This window comes from Homo sapiens, chromosome 10 (genome assembly GCF_000001405.40).
Source record: "Homo sapiens chromosome 10, GRCh38.p14 Primary Assembly".
Classification (NCBI taxonomy): Eukaryota; Metazoa; Chordata; class Mammalia; order Primates; family Hominidae; genus Homo; species Homo sapiens.
In genome coordinates this window covers 28,687,934-28,712,458 of record NC_000010.11, presented here as the reverse complement: position 1 = coordinate 28,712,458, position 24,525 = coordinate 28,687,934, and the positions used below count along the sequence as shown (strand labels likewise).

The 24,525-nt window shown below is 44.9% G+C and overlaps 1 long non-coding RNA gene across 2 annotated transcripts, besides 1 other annotated feature; it reads right to left on the bottom strand.

The window, feature by feature from the left end:
• Positions 1 to 1,492: 1,492 nt before the first annotated feature.
• On the bottom strand, positions 1,493 to 4,430 carry LOC105376470 (uncharacterized). 2 transcript variants are annotated; one of them, XR_001747282.1, is made up of 4 exons: positions 4,258 to 4,430; positions 2,721 to 2,804; positions 1,904 to 2,158; positions 1,493 to 1,724 (listed from the first exon to the last, which is right to left on the bottom strand). It is a non-coding gene; the product is annotated as an uncharacterized LOC105376470 (long non-coding RNA). The 2 variants fall into 2 exon arrangements; XR_001747281.1 differs by lacking the exon at positions 1,904 to 2,158.
• Positions 11,566 to 12,067: an enhancer, noted in NCBI's record as "H3K27ac hESC enhancer chr10:28989321-28989822 (GRCh37/hg19 assembly coordinates)". NCBI's record gives its function as "activates a minimal SCP1, AML or CMV promoter by ChIP-STARR-seq in naive H9 embryonic stem cells {active_cell/tissue: H9 hESC(naive)}" and the evidence as "EXISTENCE:reporter gene assay evidence [ECO:0000049][PMID:30033119]".

The following is a 24,525-nucleotide window of genomic DNA, read 5'->3' as shown; positions in this document are numbered from 1 at the left end:
GCCTCGGTGACAGAGTGAGACCCCATATCTAAATTAAAAAAAAATTAGGGGGACACAAACATTCAGATTATAGCAGGGATTTAGGTTCTATAAGATACATTTGTCCACATATCCCCAAGTCTATAAAAAGATACTAATGGACAAGTACCAAGGTGTTATCAGTGGTTGTCCCTGGGTATTAAGTTTTCTGGGTGTTGACATTACAGTGGTTTTTATATTCTTTTTATTTATCTGTAGTTTCTAATTTTGCTCAAATGCTCATGTAGTAAGAAGAAAGTTTGGAATCTACTGAAGAATATCTATAGCATGGAGTGTCTGCCTAGTGGACCTATGATACTTAAAGAGAACTGGGGCCTAGTGCAGTGGCTCACACCTGTAATTCTAGAACTTTGTGAGGCCTGAGTTGGGAGGATCACTTGAGTCCAGGAGTTCAGGACCAACCTGGGCAACATAGTGAGATGCAATCTCCACAAAAAGTTAGTCAGGCATGGTGGTGCATGCTTGTAGTCCTAGCTGCTCAGGAGGCTGAACTATGACCACGCCATGGCATTCCAGCCTGGTGACAAAGCAAGACCCTGTCTGTGGGAAAAAAAAAAAAAAAAAACAAAACTGAAACCGAGTACCTGTAGGTAGCCTTTGAAAATCTTTATTTTAGACCCCCGAAAGGTCTGCTCCAGCAGAACTATTCTTTTTTTTTTTTTTTTTTTTGAGACGGTGTCTCGCCGCATCGCCCAGGCTGGAGTGCAGTGGCACAATCTCAGCTCACTGCAACCTCCGCTTCCTGGGTTCAAGCGATTCTCCTGCCTCAGCCTCCTGAGTAGCTGGGATTACAGGTGTGTGCCACCATGCCCAGCTAATTTTTGTATTTTTAGTAAAGACAGGATTTTACCATGTTGGCCAGACTGGTCTCGAACTCCTGACCTCAAGTAATGGGCCCACCTTGGCCTCCCAAAGTGCTGGGATTCTCAACCAAGCCCAGTTGAGAACTGCTCTTTTAACGGGGGTTGGAGGGTACTTCGTTTTTTGTACAGAAGCTTTATTAATGGCATTGAATGCCATATCAAGCATTAAAGCAAGCCTAGTGACAAGATGTTGCTGTCCTTCCCTTTCATTTCTGTCTCTATTCCCAAATGACAACAGCCATTTGAATCAGAGATACATGCATAGATTGGCCTTGACTTCTGCCATAAGGAATTACTCACAGGGTGTGTTGCAATTGTCTTCAAGGATGTCTTTCAATAAAAAGAGCATTTGACAATCTTGGCAAAGCCGGGCCTAAGCCCCCTGCTCTAAGCTGATGAACTTGGGACTCCCTCTGGGGACAGAGTCAAGTGTTCTGAAAGTCTCCTGCTCACAGAGATTTCACATTCTCAGTTTAGTCTTTCCTGCCAGATAAATGGCCCTAGACACCATGACCAAGTTCATTCACTTTGTCCATCCACCCACCATCCAGTGAACTCCTGGCCTCTAGGCATCTCTTACCAGTGCCAGGGCCTGGACACCACCTCTGTCCACTGCACCTTCCTTTGCCTTCTAGAAGCATTCCATCTAGATCTGCTTTTTCATTTTCATTCTGAACTTCCTGGATCTAAAATGATGTTTATTTCCCCATCAGAATTCCAGCTCCTAGCTAGTTTCCAAAGTCGACAATAGTGAACTTGTTCATCCCGAGATTGTTAGTGACTGATACAGATTTATGAGTGCATGTCCTGGGAAAACATGTCCTTGGAAGAGAGAAAAAAAAAGAAAATTAGAGAGAGAAAGGCCCAATCAAAGGAGAGGAGTGGCAATGTTGTAATCATGGGTACTGCAGGCTAGTAGAGGAAACATTTGCAAGCCTGCACATTTCCAGAACCTTTGAGTATAATTCAGAGCTGCAGCCTCGCCTGCATGTGAGGCTCACCCTGCTTTTGACATGACATGCTGCAAAGCTGTGCCCTTGGAGAACTCTAATGACCTTTCTCACTGCTGGAATCTGTATCCACAGTTTCCCTTGTCCACTATAGTGGCAAGGGCTTCTCTGTTCACTTTCCGAGTGACAGCTGGTGGAGGACAAGAAGCCAGGCTGGGAGGCAGAAGGCTGGAGCTGGCCCATTTCCACCCCAACTCATACAGCAACCTTGGGGAAGCACAGTGGCCTCGCCCTCAGCTTCTTCATCTGTAAAATGAAGAGATTACACTAAACCACTGCTTCCCAGGCTCTTGGATTTTGTACCAAAAATGCTTAAAACAAAGCTCTTTTCAAAAACGTTTTAGCTTTATCTTTCTTTTAAAAAATACTTTTAGACATATTGTCCAATAAAAAAAACATGGGTTGGGGGCAGTGGCTCACACCTATAAGCACTTTGGAAGGCCGAGGCAGGCAGATCACTTGAGGTTAGGAGTTCGAGACCAGCTTGGCCAACTTGGTGAACCCCATCTCTACTAAAAACACAAAAATTAGCCAGGCATGGTGGTAGGCACCTGTAATCCCAGCTACCCGGAAGGTTGAGGCAGGAGAACTGCTTGAACCCAGGAGGCGGAGGTTGCAGTGAGCCGAGATGGTGCCACTGCACTTCAGCCTGGGTCATAAGACAAGACTCCGTCTCAAAAAAATTAATTAATTAATTAATTAATGATAATAAAATAAGATATTTTATACCAACAAGGGAGAAAAACAAAACTTCAAAGTAAAGATCAGTCATTTAAATGAATAAATGTAGTTTCTTAAGAAAACTCACTATAATCTGAATTTTTCTCTTTGGTTGGGAGCCGTCAACATTCTGGCCTGGAATCATCCCTGAGGTCCCTTCTAGCATCATATCCTAGAGAAGGAAAAATTTAAAAGGGAAAAAAAAAAGCAAACCTTTAGGATAGAGTCAAAGCAGCTCCTTCAAAGCCAATAAGGATGCTTTAGAACTCGGGATAATTTCAGGCTCCACATTTAAGCAAAGGCTTTGCCATCCAGTAAGACTTTAAGAGGAAGGATTTAAAAATCCATCTGTTTGCCTCGGGGGACTCAGAGCAAAAGCAAAGTTTCAAGCTGATAGGCTCATGATAATATAACATATTCATTAGGTCATAAAGGGTGAAATACATGACGGCAGGTTTGGAGCCCCTCATTTACACAGCTTTTAGCAAACTCACTTTATATACCCCCAGCTGGAACTGCTTCTCCAAAGCCATTCCCCAGATTGCATAATTGTTCATTATGTCTTCAGGGAGGGTCCCATCTGCAGTCACGAATCCCCATGAAAATTTGTGGGAAAATATCCTTGCTCTTTCATTACATCTAAAATGTGATCACCCGATATTAAAACACAAAGCGCGGCTACATTTTAAAGGTAAACTGCAGAGCTAAATTGAGACTTGACTTAATCCCATTTTTATGGGCTGATTAATGTCCCGAGTAACCAGGCTGGGAGGAAAGTTAATGCCTCTTTCCTTTAATGGAATGCACCATGTTTCTTGCTTTTTATCAGGGGAGCACATTGCTACCACTGTGGCTTCATACAGAACAAGACTCAAAGCGACTGTCAGAACTTTCTCCTTGTGTCAAATGGACCTCAAATTATCCATGCACCAAAATTCTTAAAAGTCCAAGTTTCAATAAAGGAGGGAAAAAAGGAAAATAAATGGGAAGTTGAGATTTCTTCACAAGAAGATAATCGTGTCTGCTTGTGGCAGCTTGAGATGAGATGATGTGTAAACTCTGCCTCAGTGGTAACAGTAATAGCCACTTGTTGAGTAGCTACTCTGTGCAAAGAATTGTGCCAGGCACTTTGCGTATGTCTTCTTCTTCTTTTTTTTTTTTTTTTTTGACAGAGTTTTGCTCTCATCGCCCAGGCTGGAGTGCAGTGGCTCCATCTCGGCTCACTGCAACCTCCGCCTCCTGGGTTCAAGCAATTCTCCTGCCTCAGCCTCCTGAGTAGCTGGGACTACAGGCGTGTGCCACCTCGCCCGGCTAATTTTTTATATTTTTAGTAGAGATGGGGTTTCACCATGTTGGCCAGGCTGGTCTCGAACTCCTGACCTCAGGTGATCCGCCCACCTCGGCCTCCCAAAGTGCTGGGATTACAGGCATGAGCCACCGTGCCCGACCTCTTTGTGTATGTCTTTTTATTTAACCCTCTGAGATAGCTGATATGAGCCACACAGAGGCTGAGCAACCTGCTCAAGGAGCAGACTTAGGCTTGCCTGACTTATGGGCCCCCCTGCCCACCAGATTGACCTCCCTGACTCTTCAGTCTCCCATCTACCTTGGACAGATTCACTTACCCACCAACGTGCAGCAGTTTAAAGAAGACATCCTTTCATTCATCCATTGACTCATCAGTGAAGAAATTAACATTGTATAGCGCTCTTTCCAAAAACAATATGGCCAGGCTGTCTAGATCCCTCCCCTCAACCTTCGCCCTGACCACAACCACCACCCCAAGCACCCTGATCACAGCTACCACCCCAAGCCCCCACCCCAACCTGAGACATGTGGCAATTTCACTCCTTGTCCCTTGAGTCCATACCTCCATAACTCAGCATGTCACATGCATACCCATTGTGAAAAATATCCATTATCACCATAGTATTACCAACACATTATTACAGGGCTTTACATGTCACAGAACTCTTTCTGATGAATTATTTCATTTGATAATTACCTTAGGCTGAGGGAGGAGGGAGAAAGATAAATTATTTAAGGCTGGGCACGATGGCTCATGACCTTAATCCCAGCACTTTGGGAGGCCAAGGCAAGAGGATTGCTTGAGCCCAGGAGTTCAAGACCAGCCTGGGCAATATAGAGAGACTCTATCTCTATAAAAAAATACAAAAATTAGCTTAGCATGGTGGCTCATGCCTGTAGTCCCAGCTACTTGGGGGCGCTGAGGCCAGAGGATCACTTGAGCCCGGTAGGTTGAGGCTGCAGTGAGCTGTGATCATACCTCTGTACCCCAGCCTGGATGACAAAGTGAGACCCTGTCTCAAAAAAATTAATTAATTAAATTTAATTTAAAAATTAAAAAATTGGCCAGGTGTGACAGCTCATGCCTGTAATCCCAGCACTTTGGGAGGCTGAGGTAGGCAGATCACAAGGTCAGGAGTTCGAGACCAGCTTGGCCAACATGGTGAAACCCCATCTCTACTAAAAATACAAAAAGTTAGCCGGGCATGGTGGTGTGCATCTATAATCTCAGCTACTCAGGAGGCTGAGGCAGGAGAATCACTTGAACCTGGGAGGTGGAGGTTGCAGTGAGCTGAGATTGCACCATTGCACTCCAGCCTGGGTGACAGATAAGAGATTTCGGGAAAAAAAATTAAAAATTAAACTAACTAATTAATTAATACTAATAAAATTATTTAGGCCAGGTGCAGTGGCTCATGCCTGTAATCCCAGCAGTTTGGGAGGCTGAGGTGGGTAGATCACTTGAGGTCAGGAGTTTGAGACCAGCCTGGCCAACATGGTGAAACCCCATCTCTACTAAAAATACAAAAGTTAGCCCGGCGTGGTGGCAGGCGCCTGTAATCTCAGCTACTCAGGAGGCTGAGGTGTGAGAATAGCTTGAACCCGGGAGGCGGAGGTTGCAGTGAGCCGAGGTCGTGCCACTGCATTCCAGCCTGGGTAACAGAGCAAGACTCCATCTCAAAAAAGAAAAAAACCAAGCTGGTTACAGGTTGGTTGCAACCTGGTTACATTGTCACTTGATTGTATAGTATTTTGGTTTCCAGAAGCTCCTATATTAGGCTGAAGGGTGAAGAAGTTATCATTTTCCAACACATCTGCCTTTTTCTCCCCTTGCTTGAATCTCCAATATTTATCCCACCCAGTTCCTTTCTTTATCCTCTACTCTTCACTTTCAAGAAAAAATAGGGCCAGGAGCAATGGCTTACACCTGTAATCCCAGTGCTCTGGGAGGCCAAGGTGGGAGGCTCACATGAGGCCAGGAATTCAAGACCAACATGGGCAGCATAGCAAGAACTCCACTCATCTCTACAAAAAAAAAAAAAAAAAAAGAAAGAAAGAAAAAGAAAAAGAAAAGAAAAGAAATTGAGGAATTGACTGGTCATGGTTGTGCATGCCTGTAGTTCCAGCTACTCAGGATGCTCCTGAGGCAGAAGGATCACTTGAGCTCAGGAGTTCAAGGCTGCAGTGAGCTATGATTGTGCCGCTGCACTCCAGCCTGGGCAACACAGAGCAAGATTCCGTCTCTTAAAAGAAGCGACAGAAAAAAAAGAACAGAACCTATTTGCATGCACTAAAGTATAATAACTGAGAACAGATCAAAATGTAACTCTTGCCACGCCATTTTTATCAATAGGGATTCAATGTCTTATCGAAAGGCATAGTTTTAAAAGTTCACACGTTAGCTGATGGGTCGGGAGAAATGGCAGCGAGAGAGCAGCAGAGCTTCTGGAATTAGAAAACACACAGCTTCAGCCGGGCACAGTGGCTCACACCTGTAATCCCAGCGCTTTGGGAGGCCGAGGCAGGCGGATCACCTGAGGTCTGGAGTTTGAGACCAGCCTGGACAACATGGTGAAACACCGTCTGTACTAAAAATAATACAAAAATGAGCCGGCCGTGGTGGTGGGCGCCTGTAATCCCAGCTACTCGGGAGGCTGAGGCAGAAGAATCACTTGAACCCAGGAGGCAGAGGTTGCAGTGAGCCCAGATCGTGCCACTGCACTCCAGTCTGGGCAACAGAGCAAGCCTCCATCTCAAAAAGAAAAAGAACACAGCTCCTGGGTGTGCTTTCTAGCACCGTCCAGTGATTTGCCTCTCATCAGGTCAGACAGTCCTGAAGCAAACCCAAGTATCTGTGCTTCATCTCCCTCCCAGACCCCACCCCGCCACCAGGAGTCAGTCCTGATGCTCCCTCAGAGTCTCCAACTGCCCCACAACCTGAGTGGGCCACACAGCCAGGGCTGCTGCAGGCCCACGGTCGTCTAGCAGCCTGGTTGGCCAGGGATATGGGGCCAAAAGGGGTGCAGACCGCCGCTGTTATCTGCCACTTCCTTCCCAGTTGGTTGTTGTAAAACTACGGCAAATGAGAAGAGGCAATCAGCCCCCCTTTTTTTTTATGGTGTTACTCTTAAAAGAAATAATAGCTAATGATAAATAACATGTATTTAATACTTACCATGTGTCAGGCACTGTTCTAAGCATGCATTAACCTATTTAATCATTACAGCAATCCTTTGACGCAGATGCTACGACTGTCCACATTTTATTAGGAAACTGAGGCTGAGAGAGGTTTGGTGACTTTCCCAAAGGCACACAGCTGCAAAGTGACAGCTGGGACCCAAAGGAAATAGACTTGAGTACTATCCACAGCAACTCCATTAAGGAGTGATGTGATCCGGAGCCAATCCTTCAACTTCTCTGGACTCCTCCGAAAAGGACGCTGGACTAGATCACCTCTGACCACACTTAACTCTCTCATCTAATGAATTTAAGCTCTTTTGGGAAGTCCCTCACCCACCCCTGAGCGCTGGAACCTAATTCATTTTCTTGGGAGTGGGTGTGAATCAGATCCTCCTGTTTCAAAGCCCAGTGGAATCCCAGGCATGAAGTACATTCTATAAATGTTCGGTTGTTATCGTTATTACTGCGACTTTAATGGGAAGTATCAGCACTAATTTCCCCTAACCCCTTCAGGGGTTTTTCTTATCCCTGGATTCTTTTTCATTCACCACTTAGACAACAGCAAGGGAGAACATTTTATTATTAACATTTTATTATCTGCGTGGAGGCATCTGGCTTTGCACTCTCCCTCCTCCCCAAACCACCTCCACTTCATCAATTCCAGTGATAAATTATTTATTCCCGAGACGACTGTTTTTTCAATCCTAGGCTTGGAACAAGGAGGAAAATAGCTACATTCCCTTCACGCTCACGGTCAGCTGTCTGATTTATTTTCCCCTTTTGCCAATTCTTCTCCTCTCTTTTCTCAGCAGCTTTTCTGCTAGAAGAGTTATATCTTAAAATTGCCCTGAGGCCTTAGGCCACCAGTGACAACCCATCCCATGCCGGAATGCATTTCTTTTCTGACTTTGGGACTAAAAGCAGAGAGATTGGACAGTATTTTAATGGCTTCTTTTTGGAGGTTGTAGGGGTTTTTATATTTTGGTTTGGTTTTCAGGTTTTTGTTTTGTTACATTTTGTTCTGTTGTTTTTGGTTTTTTGTTTTTTTTTTTGAGACAGTGTCTTGCTCTTTCACCCAGGCTGGAGCACAGTGCTGTAATCAAGGCTCACTGCAGCCTCATCCTCCCAGGCTCAAGCAATCCTCCCCCTTCAGCCCCCACAAGTAGCTGGGATTACAGGCATGCACCACCACACCCAGCTAATTTTTTTTATTTTTTGTAGTAACAGCATCTTCCTATATTGCCCAGGCGGGTCTCAATCTCCTGGGCTCAAGTGATCCTCCCACCTCAGCTTCCAAAAGTGCTGGGATTACAGGTGCCAGCCTTTGTGGCTGGCAGGTTTTTGTTTTGTCTTTCTGCCTGAGGGAAGGATCTCTAGGTGGGAGGATCCAGAGGGGTCCCACTCGAAGGGAATATGGAGTTCCTATGAAACTCACTCCAAGCAAGTGAGGCAAGCCTTCTTGTTGCCTAGTGGCCCTGACTGACTACTGTAGAAATGCTGCATTTTTTTTTTCTTCCTGAGACGGAGTCTCACTCTTGTTGCCCAGGCTGCAGTGCAATGATCCGATCTCGGCTCACTGCAACCTCCACCTCCTGGGTTCAAGCAATTCTCCTGCCTCAGCCTCCACAGTAGCTGGGACTAGAGGCGTGCACCACCATGCCCAGCTAATTTTTGTATTTTTAGTAGAGACAGGGTTTCACCATGTTAGCCAGTCTGGTCTCGAACTCCTGACCTTGGGCATCCACCCACCTTGGCCTCCCAGTGTGCTGGGATTACAGGAGTCAGCCACCGTGCCTGACCCAGAAATGCCACTTTCAAGATGACACTGCAGCGCCCTCTTACCCCCAGGAAGACACATCCTGACTTCTTTCTTTGGGGTGAAGCTTTGTCAAAAATCTGTTTAGGCCAGGCACAGTGGCTCACACTTGTAATCCCAGCACGTTAGAAGGCCACGGCAAGAAGATCACTTGAAGCCTGGAGTTCAGGACCAGCTTGGGCAACACAGCAAGACCTTGTGTCTACAAAAATTCAAAATAAAAACATTAGCCTGGCATGGTGGTGCATTCATGTAGTTCCAGCTGCTCAGGAGGTGGAGGCAGGAAGATCGCTTAAGCTCAGGAGTTTGAGGCTGCAATGAGCTATGATCACACCACTGCACTCCAGCCTAGACAACAGAGTGAGACCCTGTCTTAAGAAAAAACAAACGACAAAAAAATATGTTTAAAGGCAACAACAACCAGAAAAGAAGAAGACATTCCAGAACCAGATCACTGCGCAAACTGATATCCTGCTCCTAGAGAAAAGGAAACTTCAGGAGCAACTCAAAAAGCAAGAAGAATGGATACACTGCAACAAACAGAATCTTCGGTCCAAAGCAGGGTGCTTTTCCTGTATGAGGAAAATTAGCAATTACAGGAAAGCCATCTCCAGCTCAGCCTCTTAGGGCACAGTCTACAGAGCCCCCTGATTTTCAGAGGAGAGAAAACAACGATTAATAAAATTCCCGAAATTGAAGTATTGAATAAGATACTGCTTTTAGTGGCCAGTTACGGTGGCTCACGCTTGTAATCCCAGCATTTTGGGAGGCTGCGGTGGGTGGATCACAAGGTCAAGAGATCGAGACCATCCTGGCCAACATGGTGAAACCCCGTCTCTACTAAAAATACAAAAATTAGCTGGGCGTTGTGGCACTAACCTGTAATCCCAGCTACTCGGGAGGCTGAGGCAGGAGAATCACTTGAACCCGGGAGGCAGAGGTTGTAGTGAGCCAAGATCATGCCACTGCACTCCAGCCTGGCGACAGCAAGACTTCGTCTCAAAAAAAAAAAAGAAAGATACTGCCTTTAGCAAACTCTAGTTTTTCAGGAACAGGTTTAGTTTCTGTTAAGAGATTGAAGAACATCAGTCAGAAGAAGCAAAGGGAAACTCAGCATCTCCGGAGTCTTCAGGTTCCTAGAATTCCAAAGCTGGACACATAAATGAGGCTTCTCTGAAAGAGACATGCAGCATCCAAGAGCAAGACCCAAGTCAGAACTATAAAATCACCCACGTCTAAAACTACAGTCATCGAAACTGCTGACTTGAAGCTTGGACAAGAAGGTGGAACATGGGCCGAGCACGGTGGCTCATGTCCGTAATCCCAGCACTCTGGGAGGCCAAGGCGGGTGGATAGCTTGAGGTCAGGAGTTCAAGACCGGCCTGGCCAACATGGTAAAACCCCATCTCTACTAAAAATACAAAAAAAAAATAGCCGGGCATGGTGACATATACCTGTAATCCCAGCTACTCGGGAGGCTGAGGCATGAGTATCGCTTGAACCTGGGAGGCGGAGGTTGCAGTGAGCCGAGATTGTACCACTGCACCCCATCCTGGGTGTCAGAGTGAGGCTCCATCTCAAAAAAAAATAAAAAAAATAAAAAAAGAAGGTGGAACATGACGTGGAGAAGAATTACCATAGACCCGTACTAGACTGGTATGTTAGAAGTTAGAAGTTACTGATAATAGCTGGCACAGTGGTTCACACCTTCAGTCTGAACACTTTGGGAGGCTAAGGCAGGAGGATCACTTGAGGCCAGGAGTTTAAAACCAGCCTGGGCAACATAGCAATACCTTGTTTCTAAAAAATAAACATTTTAATTAGCCAGGTATGGTGGTACACATCTGTTGTAGTCCCAGCTACATTGGAGGCTGAGGTAGGAGGATCACTTGAGCCCAGGAGTTTGAGGCTGCAGTGAGCTATGATAGTCCCACTGCACTTCAGCCTGGGCAACAGAGCAAGACCCTTTATCTAAGAAAAAGAAGTTGCTGATAAATTCATTAAACTAATTCAATAAAAAAGAATAAGATTAAATGTAATAATGTAATAATACAGAATGTAATGTAAATAACCCCTCTTCTGGAACACATGATGTTGTGTGACACTAACCTGCATCCACAGCACATTTGTGTTCCATTCTATCAGTCCTTGCTCTGCCTGGATCAGCCAGGACTGTGGCTGCTGGCCTCTCGCTGTCTCTGACCCAGCCTGACCAGAACAAGGTCCCCCTTAGTAGCCCCATTCAGCAGCAGTTAGAATCTGGAATTCACTTTGCACTTGTGACCTAGAGGACATTTACAGTCAAGTACACCTTAAATCAGCCAACCGTGTCCAAGTGGCTGTGTCCCTCAAATTCAAGTTAGTTGCCAATTCTCTCTGCAGGACTGGAAATCTGAACCCAAACCCCAAGCCAGAAGCCTTTCGTAGTACTTGTTAACCTTCTCTCACCATGGGCTGAATGAATTTGGCACATATAGCCCTGATGGAGTCTCGGTCAGAATGGGTGACCACTCAGCTCCAAGGCACTGCCTGCCGCCTGCCTATGTTCAAGGTCCTTGTCCCCTTGGCAATGCCAGGTCAGATCAGGCCACATGGGCCTCAGCTCTCCACCAGTCATCTCACTCAAGGGACATGTGTGCTGCCAATGTCCCTTTGGACCAACCCCGCAAAGGCCTGATTTCCTCCCTCTTCTGTGGTACCATGGAGGTCTCAGGTCGGTGGGCTCCAAACCAGCTGAAGATGTGATAAATCCTGACCATCCAGGAACTATTTGATAAGAACTAGGAACAACAAGACCTGGTTTGGATGTTTGTTCCCTCCAAATCTCACGTTGAAATGTGATTTCCAGCCGGGCACGGTGGCTCACGCCTGTAATTCCAGCACTTTGGGAGGCTGAGGTGGGTGGATCACCTGAAGTCAGGAGTTCGAGACCAGCCTGGCCAACATGGTGAAACCCTGTCTCTACTAAAAATACAAAAATTAGCTGGGTGTGGTGGTACACACCTGTAGTCCCAGCTACTAGGGAGGCAGGATCAATTGAGCCCAGGAGGTGTAAGCTGCAGTGAGCTAAGATGGCACCACTGCACTCTAGCCTGGGTGACAGCCTGTCTCAAAAAAAGAAAAAAAAATTATTAGGTAGGTGCAAAAGTAATTGCAGTTTTTGCAATGACTTTTAATGGCAAACCTCACAATAATTTTTGCACCAACGTAACAACCATTTTGTGCTTACCTCATCAAGAACCAGTACAAAACAGTTTGTGCAGTAGCCTCAATCTGTGGGCCTTACCTCAAGGCAGCCCACCCTACAGTTTGGCCAGCAAGGCCAAGGACGGTGTGGGGAGCTATTAAAAATGATGAGGAGCCCAGATCACGAGGTCGGGAGATCGAGACCATCCTGGCTAACACGGTGAAACCCCGTCTCTACTAAAATCACAAAAAATTAGCCGGGCGTGGTGGTGGGCACCTGTAGTCCCAGCTACTCGGGAGGCTGAGGCAGGAGAATGGTGTCAACCCGGGAGGCAGAGCTTGCAGTGAACCGAGATTACACCACTGCACTCCAGCCTGGGCGACAGAGCGAGCCTTCATCTCAAAAAAAAAAAAAAAAAAAAAAAAGAGGAGCCAACAGTCTAGGCGGGCCCAGGGCATGGCTTTGCCTCAAATCACTGCAAACTCCGGGAGTGAGCCTTTGCTGGTGACCCTGCTGTTTCCCTACTCCAGGGTCTCAGTTCTCAAGGCTCCTGGCATCGGATTTAGCTTCTGCTTGGAGACCACCCATGACCCTGCGGCTGACTCCACTGAATGGTAACCTGTTCCATTTGTTTCCCTGTTCCACGTCCCAGAAAGAAATTTAATTTCCTCCTACTCTTCTAATATTCCTTTATGTTTTCTTTCTTCTCCCTCATTCTTTTTGTTTGTTTTGATTTCTCTCTCTTCTCTCTCTCATGCAACCATAGAATACAGAAAATCAAGATGATGGCCATGCATGGTGGCTCACACCTATTATCTCAGCACTTTGGGAGGCCAAGGTGGGTGGATCACTTGAGGTCAGGAGTTCGAGACCAGCCTGGCAAACATGATGAAACCCTGTCTCTAAAAAATACAAAAATTAGCTGGGTGTGGTGGTGGGTGCCTGTAATACCAGCTACCCAGGAGGCTGAGGCAAGAGAATCGCTTGAACCCTGGAGGCAGAAGTTGTAGTGAGCTGAGATCACGCCATTGCATTCCAGCCTGGGTGACAAAGCGAGACTCCATCTCAAAAAAAAAAAATAAAATTAGCTAAGCATGGTGGCAGGCACCTGTAATCCCAGCTACTCTGGAGGCTGAGGCAGGAGAATTGCTTCAGCCCAGGAGGCAGAGGTTGCAGTGAGCCAGGATCACGCCACTGCACTCCAGCCTGGGTGACAGAAAGAAAAGAAAATCAAGATTACTCAGGTACACATAAAGACTTCTCGAAAATTGCTAAAACTGGCCAGGCATGGTGCCTCACACCTGTAATTCCAACACTTTGGGAGACTGAGGCAGGAGGATCACTTGAGGCCAGAAGTCCAAGACCAGCCTGGGCAACATAATAAGACCCTTTCTCTACAAATAAAATAAAACAATTAGCCAATGTGGTGGGGTGTACGTCTGTATAGTCCCAGCTACTCAGGAAGCTGAGGTGGGAGAATTGCTTGAGCCCAGGGGTTTGAGGCTGCAGTGAGCTGTGATTGCACCACTGCACTCCAGCCTGGGCAACAGAGCCAGACCTTGTCTCCACAAAAAAAAAAGAAAAAAAGTAACTTCCTTCCAATACCTTGTCCAGGGCACTTTTTAATGTGTTGAAATAACCAATCCAGAATTATTTTTCCCTCCCTCTCTCCCTCTTGCTCTCTCTCATACATTTCATTTAAGCAAAATTTGGAAAAGTTAAACGTTGACCTTTGATACGCTAGTTATTCTGAAGTAACCTGAAGTCTTAATTTTCTTATTCTAGCATTTTATCAGTGCCTGACAAGTTCCATTAAGCTGCTTACTTTAGTTCTGAAATATCAAATATTCACTGCTCAGTGAGAAGCTGAATGTCTCTGGGCTGGCTGATTATTTTGGAAATAGAACTCTGCTCTTCCATGAATTCAATCAAGGAGAAAATTCCCCCTGACTTGCACTCATTGACTGTTTTCTGAAAGGAAATTCTTTTAAGATACTGTTATGGATAAAGTGAATGAGTTGTCAAAGCATGGTTTTGAAAGACGTTGTTTGAGTCTGTTTTGTGAGTAAGACACTGTCAGGATATAATTATAGTGTCTGAGTGCTGTTGAGGATTTAGAAATACAATTTACATGAAGTTTGACATTTTGCGACTTTACAAACTATATGCTGATGCTAGTCACTGAAATTGCACCAGGGATCTCCTGTTCTTAGTGAGGAATTAAACATCAAGACTATTGAAAGAGTAAATTCAATACATCATTTTTTTCCCTGCAGGTAATTCTATATGTTTCCAAGGGAAAAATTACTCACTTTAAAAAAACGCATTTCAGAATGGTTCATTAATATAAGCCACAAAAAAGAATCAGAATCAATTGATTTCTGCTTCTTTTGGTCTCAAGGGTGGTTTGTAAGGAAATAGGCAATGAGAAGTAAGTGAAAGGATGAGATTGTGTTTTTCCCCCATCTTTCATCCCCTACAAAGCCAAAAAAAAAGTGGGGGAAAGTTAGTTAACAGTGGTCTCTCCTTATCCCTAGAGTAAGTGGGTCATGAAAAAGGAGAATAAAAATTTGTTTCTCAGACGGGCACAGTGGCTCACACCTGTAATCCCAGCACTTTGGGAGGCCGAGATGGGTGGATCACTTGAGGTCAGAAGTTGGAGACCAGCCTGGCCAACATGATGAAACCCCATCTCTACTGAAAATACAAAAATTAGCCAGGTGTGGTGGTGTGCACCTGTAGTCCTAGCAACTCGGGAGGCTGAAGCAGGAGAATCGCCTGAACCCGGGAGGCAGAGGTTGCAGTGAGCCGAGATCATGCCACTGCACTCCAGCCTAAGCAACAGAATGAGACTCCGTTAAAAAAAAAAAATTGTTTATCATAGATTCCAGAATGTTCCAGAATGACACATAACATGTGGAATCTTCCCTTAAGGAGTCAAACCTGGAGAGAAGAGGAGAAATTTCTTCTGATCCCCCAAACTGCATCCCAGAAATAACTATACCAAGAATTCCTTCCCAGTTCCATAGGTAGGATAGGGTGTGTCTTGGCAGAAATAGTGCGATTGGGGCAGGGCGCGGTAGCTCACGCCTGTAATCCCAGCACTTTGGGGGCTGAGGCAAGCAGATCTTCTGAGGTCGGGAGTTCAAGACTAGCCTGACCAACATGGAGAAACCCCGTCTCTACTAAAGATATAAAAAATTAGCCGGGCGTTGTGGCACATGCCTGTAATCCCAGCTACTCAGGAGGCTGAAGCAGGAGAATCTCTTGAATCCCGGAGGCGGAGGTTGCAGTGAGCTGAGATCACACCATTGCACTCCAGCCTAAGAACAAGAGCAAAACTCCGTCTAAAAAAAAAAAAATGAAGAAGAAGAAATAGTGCGATTGGGGTTTAGCATGGTTTTGCCTCCTGAAAAGCAGAGAAGACCCTATATGAGACAAAGTGTCATTGTACGGTTTCCATTCGGATATAAAACCTTGAAAATTTAATATTATTGTTCTCACAAGTTTTCGGTATCCTTTGGGGTGAATGTGTCCCAGTGATTTAATCCCAGCAAGAAATCCCAGGTCTGAGTCCTCCTCACAGCATGGCCTTGAGTGAGTCACTTTGCCAGTGTTTTCCAACTAGGAGGTAGGGAGAACACCCAAATTTGCAATATTTTTGCACCATTTAAGTATTAAACATTTAGGCCAATAAGAAACATAATTATTTGGCCAGACACAGTGGCTGACACCTGTAATCTCAGCACTTCGTGAGGCCAAGACAGGAAGATCACTTGAGGCCCAGGATTAAAAACCAGCCTGGCCAACGAGGTGAGATCCCATCTCTATTAAAATAATAATAAAAATAAATAAAAAGAAGCATAAATATTCCTTCTTGTTGTTTCTTTTGTTTATTTATTTTGGGTTTGTTTTTGTTTTTCAGAGACAGGTTCTCGCCTTGTTATTCAGGCTGGAGTGCAGTGGCACCATGATGGCTCATTACAGCCCTGAATTCCTGGGCTCCAGTGATCCTCCCACCTCAGCCTCCCGAGTAGCTGGGACGACAGGCACACACCATCATGCCTGGCTAATTTTTTATTTTTTGTAGAGACAGAGTCTCACTATTTTGCCCAGGCTGGTCTTGAACTCCTGGGCTCAAGCCATCCGTCCACCTTGGCCTCCCAAAGTGCTGGAACTACAGACATGAGCCACCACATCAAGTCCTTGGTGATCTTTCTAACCAACACACAGTCTACTCATCTTAACATTTCAGCTTATTGTAGAAAAATTTCAAAAACAAAGGGCAATTTCATTGCTGTATAATATTCATCTCAAGTAGGAAGAAAAACACAAAGTTATTTTTAAACTTATTTTTAAGCAGGATTGTCTCTAAGGTTCTTTGTTTTCAGGGTTTTTTGGTTGAACTTTGTTTTGTTTTGTTTCATCTTTATTTGGGAGACTCAAAAAAATTAATGCATTTGTTTTAAGCTATACAATAATGTTGCTACTGCTTTTGTTAATTACAATGTTTGGACTTGTTTTTCTCTGCCTTCATTCTTTAGCTCTAAGTCTGAGGTTTATTGTAAATTCAATTACAAACAATGTTGCAAATAGGTAGTGGTTTTATTGGTTGAAAAAGGAAAGATGGCCTCAAGAATGTAACTGTGTATACGCCATTTTCCATCTTCTTAAAGCAAACTTTATTGGTTATAAACATGAGAAAAAGCAGACACAATTCAAACCTGTATTTACAAAGGAATGAGAATGAAAAGTATGAAAGAAATAAAAATATATAAATACATAAAAAAGGCTTATCTTTATTTCAAAATAGCATTTTAATAATAATTCCCGTTTTATAATGCCTTACCCAAGGAGATCAAACGGCCTTCAGGGCACTGTAGAATTTTAATAACATGCATTTGAGGGTGGAGGAAAGCACTGTGATCCTCTAACTCTCACTTTACAAATGAAAAAGATGAAACTGAAAGATGACTTGGTTCACTAAATCTCGCTACTCAGTACAGAATCTTGGAATAAGTTGCTCTTTTTTTTTTAAAATTAGCTGGGTGTGGTGGTGTGTGCCTGTGGTCCCAGCTACTCAGGAGGCTGAGGCAGGAGGATGGATTGAGCCTGGGAAGTCAAGGCTGTAGTGAGCTGTGATCATGTCATTGCACTCCAGCCTGGGTGACAGAGAGACCCTGTTTCAAAAATAACAATAATAACTTATCCTTTTAAAAGAAAGAGGATGGGTGTGGTGGCTCACACCTATAATCCCAGCATGTTGGGAGGCTGAGGCAGGCAGATCACTTGAGGTCAGGAGTTCGAGACCAGCCTGGCCAGCATGGTGAAACCCCATCTCTACTAAAATACAAAAATTAGCTGAGTGTGGCCGCATATGCCTGTAATCCCAGCTACTAGGGAGGGTGAGGCAGGAGAATCGCTTGAACCCGGGAGGTGGAGGTTACACTGAGCTGAGATTGTACCACTGCACTTCAGCCTGGGCAACAGAGCAAGACTCTGTCTCAAAAAATAATAAGAAGAATAAATAAAAGAGAAGAAGGACATGAAGTCAGAACAAAAGGAGGCAGAGTAAGCCAGAGGTGGAACCCCAGAGACAGCCTGAGCTGTGGAAACTTGCAGATGGGGAGGAAATATCAAGTCAATAGGGAGAGTTGACGGTAAAACATCATCATCAGCAACAAAGGTCATTTCAAGGGAGCAGAAGGGGGTTAAGAGCAAGACCCAGGATGGAAGGAAATATTCACAAGCTGGTCTGCTAATGCAAAACATGCTGGAACTGCCTTCTGGGTCTCACGCCGCAAGTGCCTGCGGAAGGGGCTGGTGGCTCCTTAAAGGTGCTGGACAGATGTGGAACACACAGATCAATTCCTGGGCTTGGGGAAGCCCCACCGATTTGTCAATATCTTAAGTAACATACACATTAGCCTGATATATGAACACTAAATCACAGGAGCATTTATGCCCCAACTTTTTTTTTTTTTTTTTTGAGGTTCTTGCTTTGTCACCCAGGCTGGAGTGCAGTGGCACAATCATAGCTCACTGCAGCCTCAAACTCCTGGGCTCAAGCAATCCTCCTGTCTCAGTCTCCTGAGTAGCTGAAATTATAGGTGCATGCTGCCACACCTGCCTAATTTTTTGATTTTTGTTTTTTGTAGGGACAGGGTCTTACTATGTTGCCCAGTCTGATCTTAAACTCCCAGTTTCAAGTGATCCTCCTGCCTCGGCCTCCCAAAGTGCTGGGATTGCAGGTGTGAACCACTGTGCCCAGCTCCAGCATTTCTTAGTAAGGAACAATAAATGACTAGGTGTTGGGTTTATGATTTATACTAAAATTATTAAAGCTGTATTGTGTTTTTAGTCCAGCTTTTTTTTTTTTTTTTTTTTTTTTGGAGACAGCATCTTGCTCTGTTGCCCAGGCTGGAGTGCAGTGGCACGGTCTCGGCTCACTGCAGCCTCCACCTCCTGGGTTCAAGCAGTTATCCCGCCTCAGCCTCTCGGGTAGCTGGGATTATAGGCACATGCCACCACGCCCAGCTAATTTCTGTATTTTTAGTAGAGACGGGATTTCACCATGTTAGCCAGACTGGTCTCGAACTCCTGACCTCAGGTGATCCACCTGCCTCAGCCTCCCAAAGTGCTAGGATTACAAGCATGAGCCACCATGCCCGGCTAGTCCAGCAAATTTCTTAGAAGCCCAGATTCTCATGAAAACAGACCTCACTCAGTTTATGAATTAGAAACATGCTCTAGAACAACAACAACAAATTTAAGAGAAGATCTCGCTCTGTTGCCCAGGAGGGAGAGCAGTGGCACCATCGTATCTCATTGCAGCCTCAACCTCTCAGGTCCAAGCAATCCTCCTACCTCAGCCTCCTGAGTAGCTGGGACCACAGGCATGCACCACCATGCCTAGCTAATTTTTAAATTTTTTTGTATAGATGGGGTTTCACCATGTTGCCCAGGCTGGTCTCCACCTCCTGGGCTCAAGCAATCCTCTTGCCTCAGCCTCCCTAAGTCCTGGGATTGCAGGCGTGAGCCACCACTCCCGGCCTGGGACAAAATTTTAATTTGCCTCTTTCCTCCCTATGAGACAAACTTTGCCAGCCCTTCACCTGGACCCCCAAGCAGAAAGACAGTGCCAGGAGCTCATACCACCCGTGCTCCAGGCACAGCTGTCGCCTAGAACTGTGGCTTGGTGCCCCGTCAGCAGAGCAAACAAGCACACTCAATAGGTGTGTATTCATTAATAGGATGTGCAAAAACAGGTATCTGTTGTAACATGGAGCAGATAGCATGCCCTTCCTGAAGAGTGTTAAACTATTGTGCTGATATTGCACATCGTAACTGTTCCTAATATGTAATATTTTCCTACAAGGGATATGTTAGTTTCAATATGTTTAAATAAAAATTAAGTACTTTCCTACTGTCTTGAGCAAAATAGAATCGTGGAAAGTTAAAAGGAATTCAAGACACTCACACCCACAAATGAAAAACCTTAAACATCACTGGATCTTTTTTTTTTTTTTTTTTTTTTTGAGACAGAATCTCACTCTGTCGCCCAGGCTGCAGTGCAGTGGCATGATCTCGGCTCACTGCAACCTCCACCTCCCCAGTTCAAGTGATTCTCCAGCCTCAGCCTTCCAAGTAGCTGGGATTACAGGCATATGCCACCACGCCCAGCTAATTTTTGTATTTTTAGTAGAGACGGGGTTTCACCATGTTGGCCAGGCTGGTCTCGAACTCCTGACCTCAGGTGATCCACCCACCTCGGCCTCCCAAAATGCTGAGATGACAGGTGAGCCACTGCGCCCGGCCTGGATCTTTGGGTCTACCTGAAATCCAGCTCTTCCATTTGTAGAGTCAGCGTGGTGACCTCTATCATCTGTGTGTGTTTCCTAGGCATTGTGAGGGCTCATGAAGGAACGATACTTAATAGGAATTGCTAACTTTCACAGTGTTTTTAGGAACTGTGCTAAATCTTTATTTGTATTATCTCATTTAATCCTCACAACAACCCAGAGTGCTAATAAAACCCAGGGTCGTGGCACAAACCTGTAATCCCAGCTACTCAGGAGGCTGTGGTGGGAGGATCACTTGAGCCAGGAGTTCGAGGCTGTAGTGAGCCATGATTGCACCATTGCACTCCAGCCTGGGCAACAGAGCAAGACCCTGTCTCTAAAAATAAGTAAATACAAACTTTAAAAAATAAAGTGCTGATAATATTATTACCTTCATTATGTAAGTGAGGAAATTGAGAGGTTAATTAGCCCAAGGTCATACCACTAGTAACAGGTTAAGTCTGAACTTGAACCCAGGTCTCTCAGAGTCCGGAACCATACATACTCATAGCAGCTTGTTTTAGTTCATTCTCACACTGCTGTAAAGAACTACTTAAGACTGGGGATTTATGAAGAAAAGAGGTTTAATTGACTCAGTTCCACAGGCTTAACAGGAAGCATGGCTGGGAGGCCTCAGGAAACTTACGATCATGGCAGACGGTGAAGGGGAAGCAAGCACTTTCTTCTCATGGTGGCAGGAGAGAGAGAGAGATAGAGAGACAGAAAGACAGAGACAGAGGGAGGGAGAGAGGGAGAGAGGGAGTGGAGAGGGGGGATGGAGGGGGGAGAGAGAGGGAAAGAAGGAGAGAGGGGAAGAGGGAGAGGGAGGGAGGGAAGGAGAGAGGGAGGGGGAGGGAGAGAGGCGGGAGGGAGAGAGAGAGAGAGGTGCCACACACTTTTAGATAGGGAGAGGGAGGGAGAGGGAGGGAGGGGGAGGGAGGGGGAGGGAGGCGGAGGGAGGGAGAGAGAGGGAGAGGTGCCACACACTTTTAAATAACCAGATCTCGTGAGAACTCACTCACTATCATGAGAACAGCAAGGGGGAAATCCAGTCCCATGATATAATCACTTTCTACCAGGTCCCTCGCTGACAGGTGGGGATTACAATTTGACATGAGATTTGGGAGGGGACATAGAGCCAAACCATATCACAGCTATGCAGGCTTATAAAAACATTAGGATGTGGGCTGGGTGTGGTGGCACACACCTATAATCCCAGCACATTGGGAGGCCAAGGTGGAAGGATCACTTGAGCCCAGGAATTCGAGATCAACCTGGGCAACATAGTGAGACTCCCCGTCTCTACAAAAATTTTTTTTAAATTACCTGAGTGTGGTGGTGTGCACCTGTATTCCCAGCTACTCATAAGAGTGAGGTGGGAGGACTGCTTGAGCCTGGAAGGTTGAGGCTGCAGTGAGTCAAGATCCCATCACTGCACTCCAGCCTGGGCGATAGAGGGAGATCCTGTCTCAAAAAAGAAAAAAAAATTAGGATAAGCACTTTCAGAAAAAGCTTCAGAAAAAAGGGCAGGTTCTTCTTTAGGCCAGGTGCAAAGGTGTGACTTCCCAGAAGAAACGGGAAGACCAAAAAAAAAAATGGCCAATGTATTTTTCTCCAGATGAGGTATTTGTGTATGGATATTCTGAAGAAAGGGTTTTCTTTTTCCCCCTAGCAGTTGTTTGCTGTCACATGCCAGCAAACATGGCATGTCACAGCAGTTTGCTGTGACTAGCCAGCAGAGCCCTAGAGGAACTGCAGGACGTGGTCACCACTGTCTGTGTTAGTCCAGGGAACCAGCAGAGCTCTTCTGCTTCTGAAGCCTACTTGAGTTAATGAAAATCCTAGGGACCCTGCTGAACCCAATTCATTGCTGAGAGCCATGAAAAATAGCTCCATAAATCTGCCTCTGAAGAAAAGGTCAGGCTTCCCAGGTTGGGGTAAACAAATTGAGGATTTCAAAGCAACCTGTTAGCTACTCACGCCAATTTGCATACAAAGCCAACAAACAACCTCCCATTGTTAAAGAAGATGGTGAAGGATGTTCGGGTTTTATTGTCCAACTATGGTGACTGTCACAGTCCAGTCCCTTGAAAGAGTTACCTCGCAACCTGCTTCACAATCAAATGTCAGGACAGGGAAATGACCCTTGACATTTACCAAGCCCAGATGGACAGACGATCCCCCCCGGCAGGCCGCCTCCTAAACCAGCCGCACCTTCTTGCTCTGTCCAGGCTGTGAAATTGGTGACCAGATGCCTCCACTTCAAGCGTGTTAAATGCTACACCAGGTTTAGCAGAGAGAACACGATTTCTGACTTCCAGCCAAGGCGTTTGCATTTTAAAATGTCCACAACAGTGTTCCTTTTAAAGAGGGAGATTTTCTCTTTTCCACGTTTATTCAATTTTTAGTAAGCACCACTGGAGGGGGATGAAGAGAGCTTGGTTAGTAGGTACCAATAGATAGTTTGACAGAAAAAAAAAATAAGACCTAGTGTTTGACAGATCAGTGGGGTGACTATAGTTTACAATAATCTATTACATATTTCAAAATAACTAGAAGAGAATAATCCAGATGTTTCTAGTATACAACAAAGACAAATATTTAAAGTGATAGATACCCAGCTATACTGCTTTGATCTGTACAAATTACATGAATGTATTAAATTATCACATGTGCCCCCAAATTATGTATATCGATCGTGTATCAATTTTTTAAAATCTAACACATTAAAGAAAAAAGCAGGAAGCAGGTTGATACTGGTTTGAGCCAGGACTCAGAAAATATAAAGATATGTATAATATTTTAAGATAAATAAATAAATAAAAGGAACACAGGACACTAGAAAAAATAGTGTATAAGGATTGTGAAGTCAAGAATGACCTCCCCTTCTCTTCCGCTCCTGCCACCCCTGCCCAACATATACATTCTTTTTTCAAAATTTATCTTTGCACTTTGGGAGGCTCTGGAGGGAGGTTCACTTGAGGCCAGGAGTTTGAGACCAGTGCGGACAGCAAAGTGAGAGCCTCACCTCTACAAAAAAAATTTTTTTTAATTAGCTGGGCATGGTGGTGCACAGCTGTGGTCCCAGTTACTCAGGAGGCTGAGGCGGGAGGATTGTTTGAACCCAGGAGTTTGAGACCAGCCTGGAGACTCCCTCTACCAAAAAAATGAGATAAGGCCAGGCGTGGTGGCATGTGCCTGTAGTCCCAGCTACTCGGAGGCTGAAGCAGGAGGATCACTGAGTCCAGGAGTTCAAGGCTGCAGTGAGCTATGATCCCACCACTGCACTCCAGCCTGACCTACAGGCTGGGCTTACGAAAATAAGTAATTTTTGTAAAAGAACACTATATAATAATGTGATAAAATAAATAAATATAGGCCGGGCTCATGCCTGTAATCTCAGCACTTTGAGAGGCCAAGGCAGGTGAATCACCTGAGATCAGGAGTTCGGGACCAACCTGACCAACAGGGAGAAACCCCGTCTCTACTAAAAATACAAAATTAGCCGGGCATGGTGGCACATGCCTGTAATCCCAGCTCCTCAGGAGTTTGAGGCAGGATAATCGTTCAAACCTGGGAGGCAGAGGTTGCAGTGAGCCGAGATCGCACCATTGCACTCCAGCATGGGCAACAAGAGCGAAACTCCGTCTCAAAAAAAAAAAAAAAAAAAAGAAAAATATAAAAGTGTGAATTATAAAACTGCAATGGATGCACAAGAGCTATTTGGATTTTGAAGTTAAAGGTAAACTTTTCATGAAGACGCTAAGTGTTTGTGAAGGGAAGGGAATTTATAACTTGGTGTGTCCTTGAATGAAAGAGGCAGGGAGCTATTTGTTGCTTTTATTACAGCTTCTGGGCAGAGGTTCATTTCCATGAGAAGAAAAGAGAATTTGCCAAAGTTGCCCTGGTATAGCAGGGCCTGTCAAGCCATTGAGGATGAAATACTAAATCAGGTAGCGTATTCCAGGTTCTCAACATTTTTGATCAACAAAACTCTCAGTGGCTTGTTCTTAACTCCTTGGAGAGACAATGGTGGAAATTTTGGATTATCTTTAAATACTAAAATGAAAGTACAACTCTTAGTTCAAAGGAGAATAGTGATACACTTCTGGGTGAGAATTAGTCCTTAAATGAGCTTAGAGCCTGCACCAAATATAAAAGGTAGACTCAGATATTTGACCTTAGCAATGTTTCGTTAATGTTCAGGCCCATTGGAATTTTTTCTCAACTTCCTTCACTAGCAATTTGTTTTCCTTTAGGCTCTCCAGACAAAAATTATAAATCTGTAAAGCAATCAGTTAGGATAGAGAAATGAAAGAGAAAGACAACATTTATTTACTAAAAACCAGAAACAGGTGCCTGAAAACAAAAGGTCTTAATCTGTCCTTCATCTAATTCTCTCCTTTGGATTTTGGAAATGTACAAAGGTTATTGATCACAGCTCCTGCCCACGGGGAGTTCACAGTTTAATCCCCAAATCCAGGTGAGAAAGGCCCTCATTTACCAAGGCAACTGTGAATTAAAGCTATGGTATCAAAACCACATCCACTAAATTTAGGGG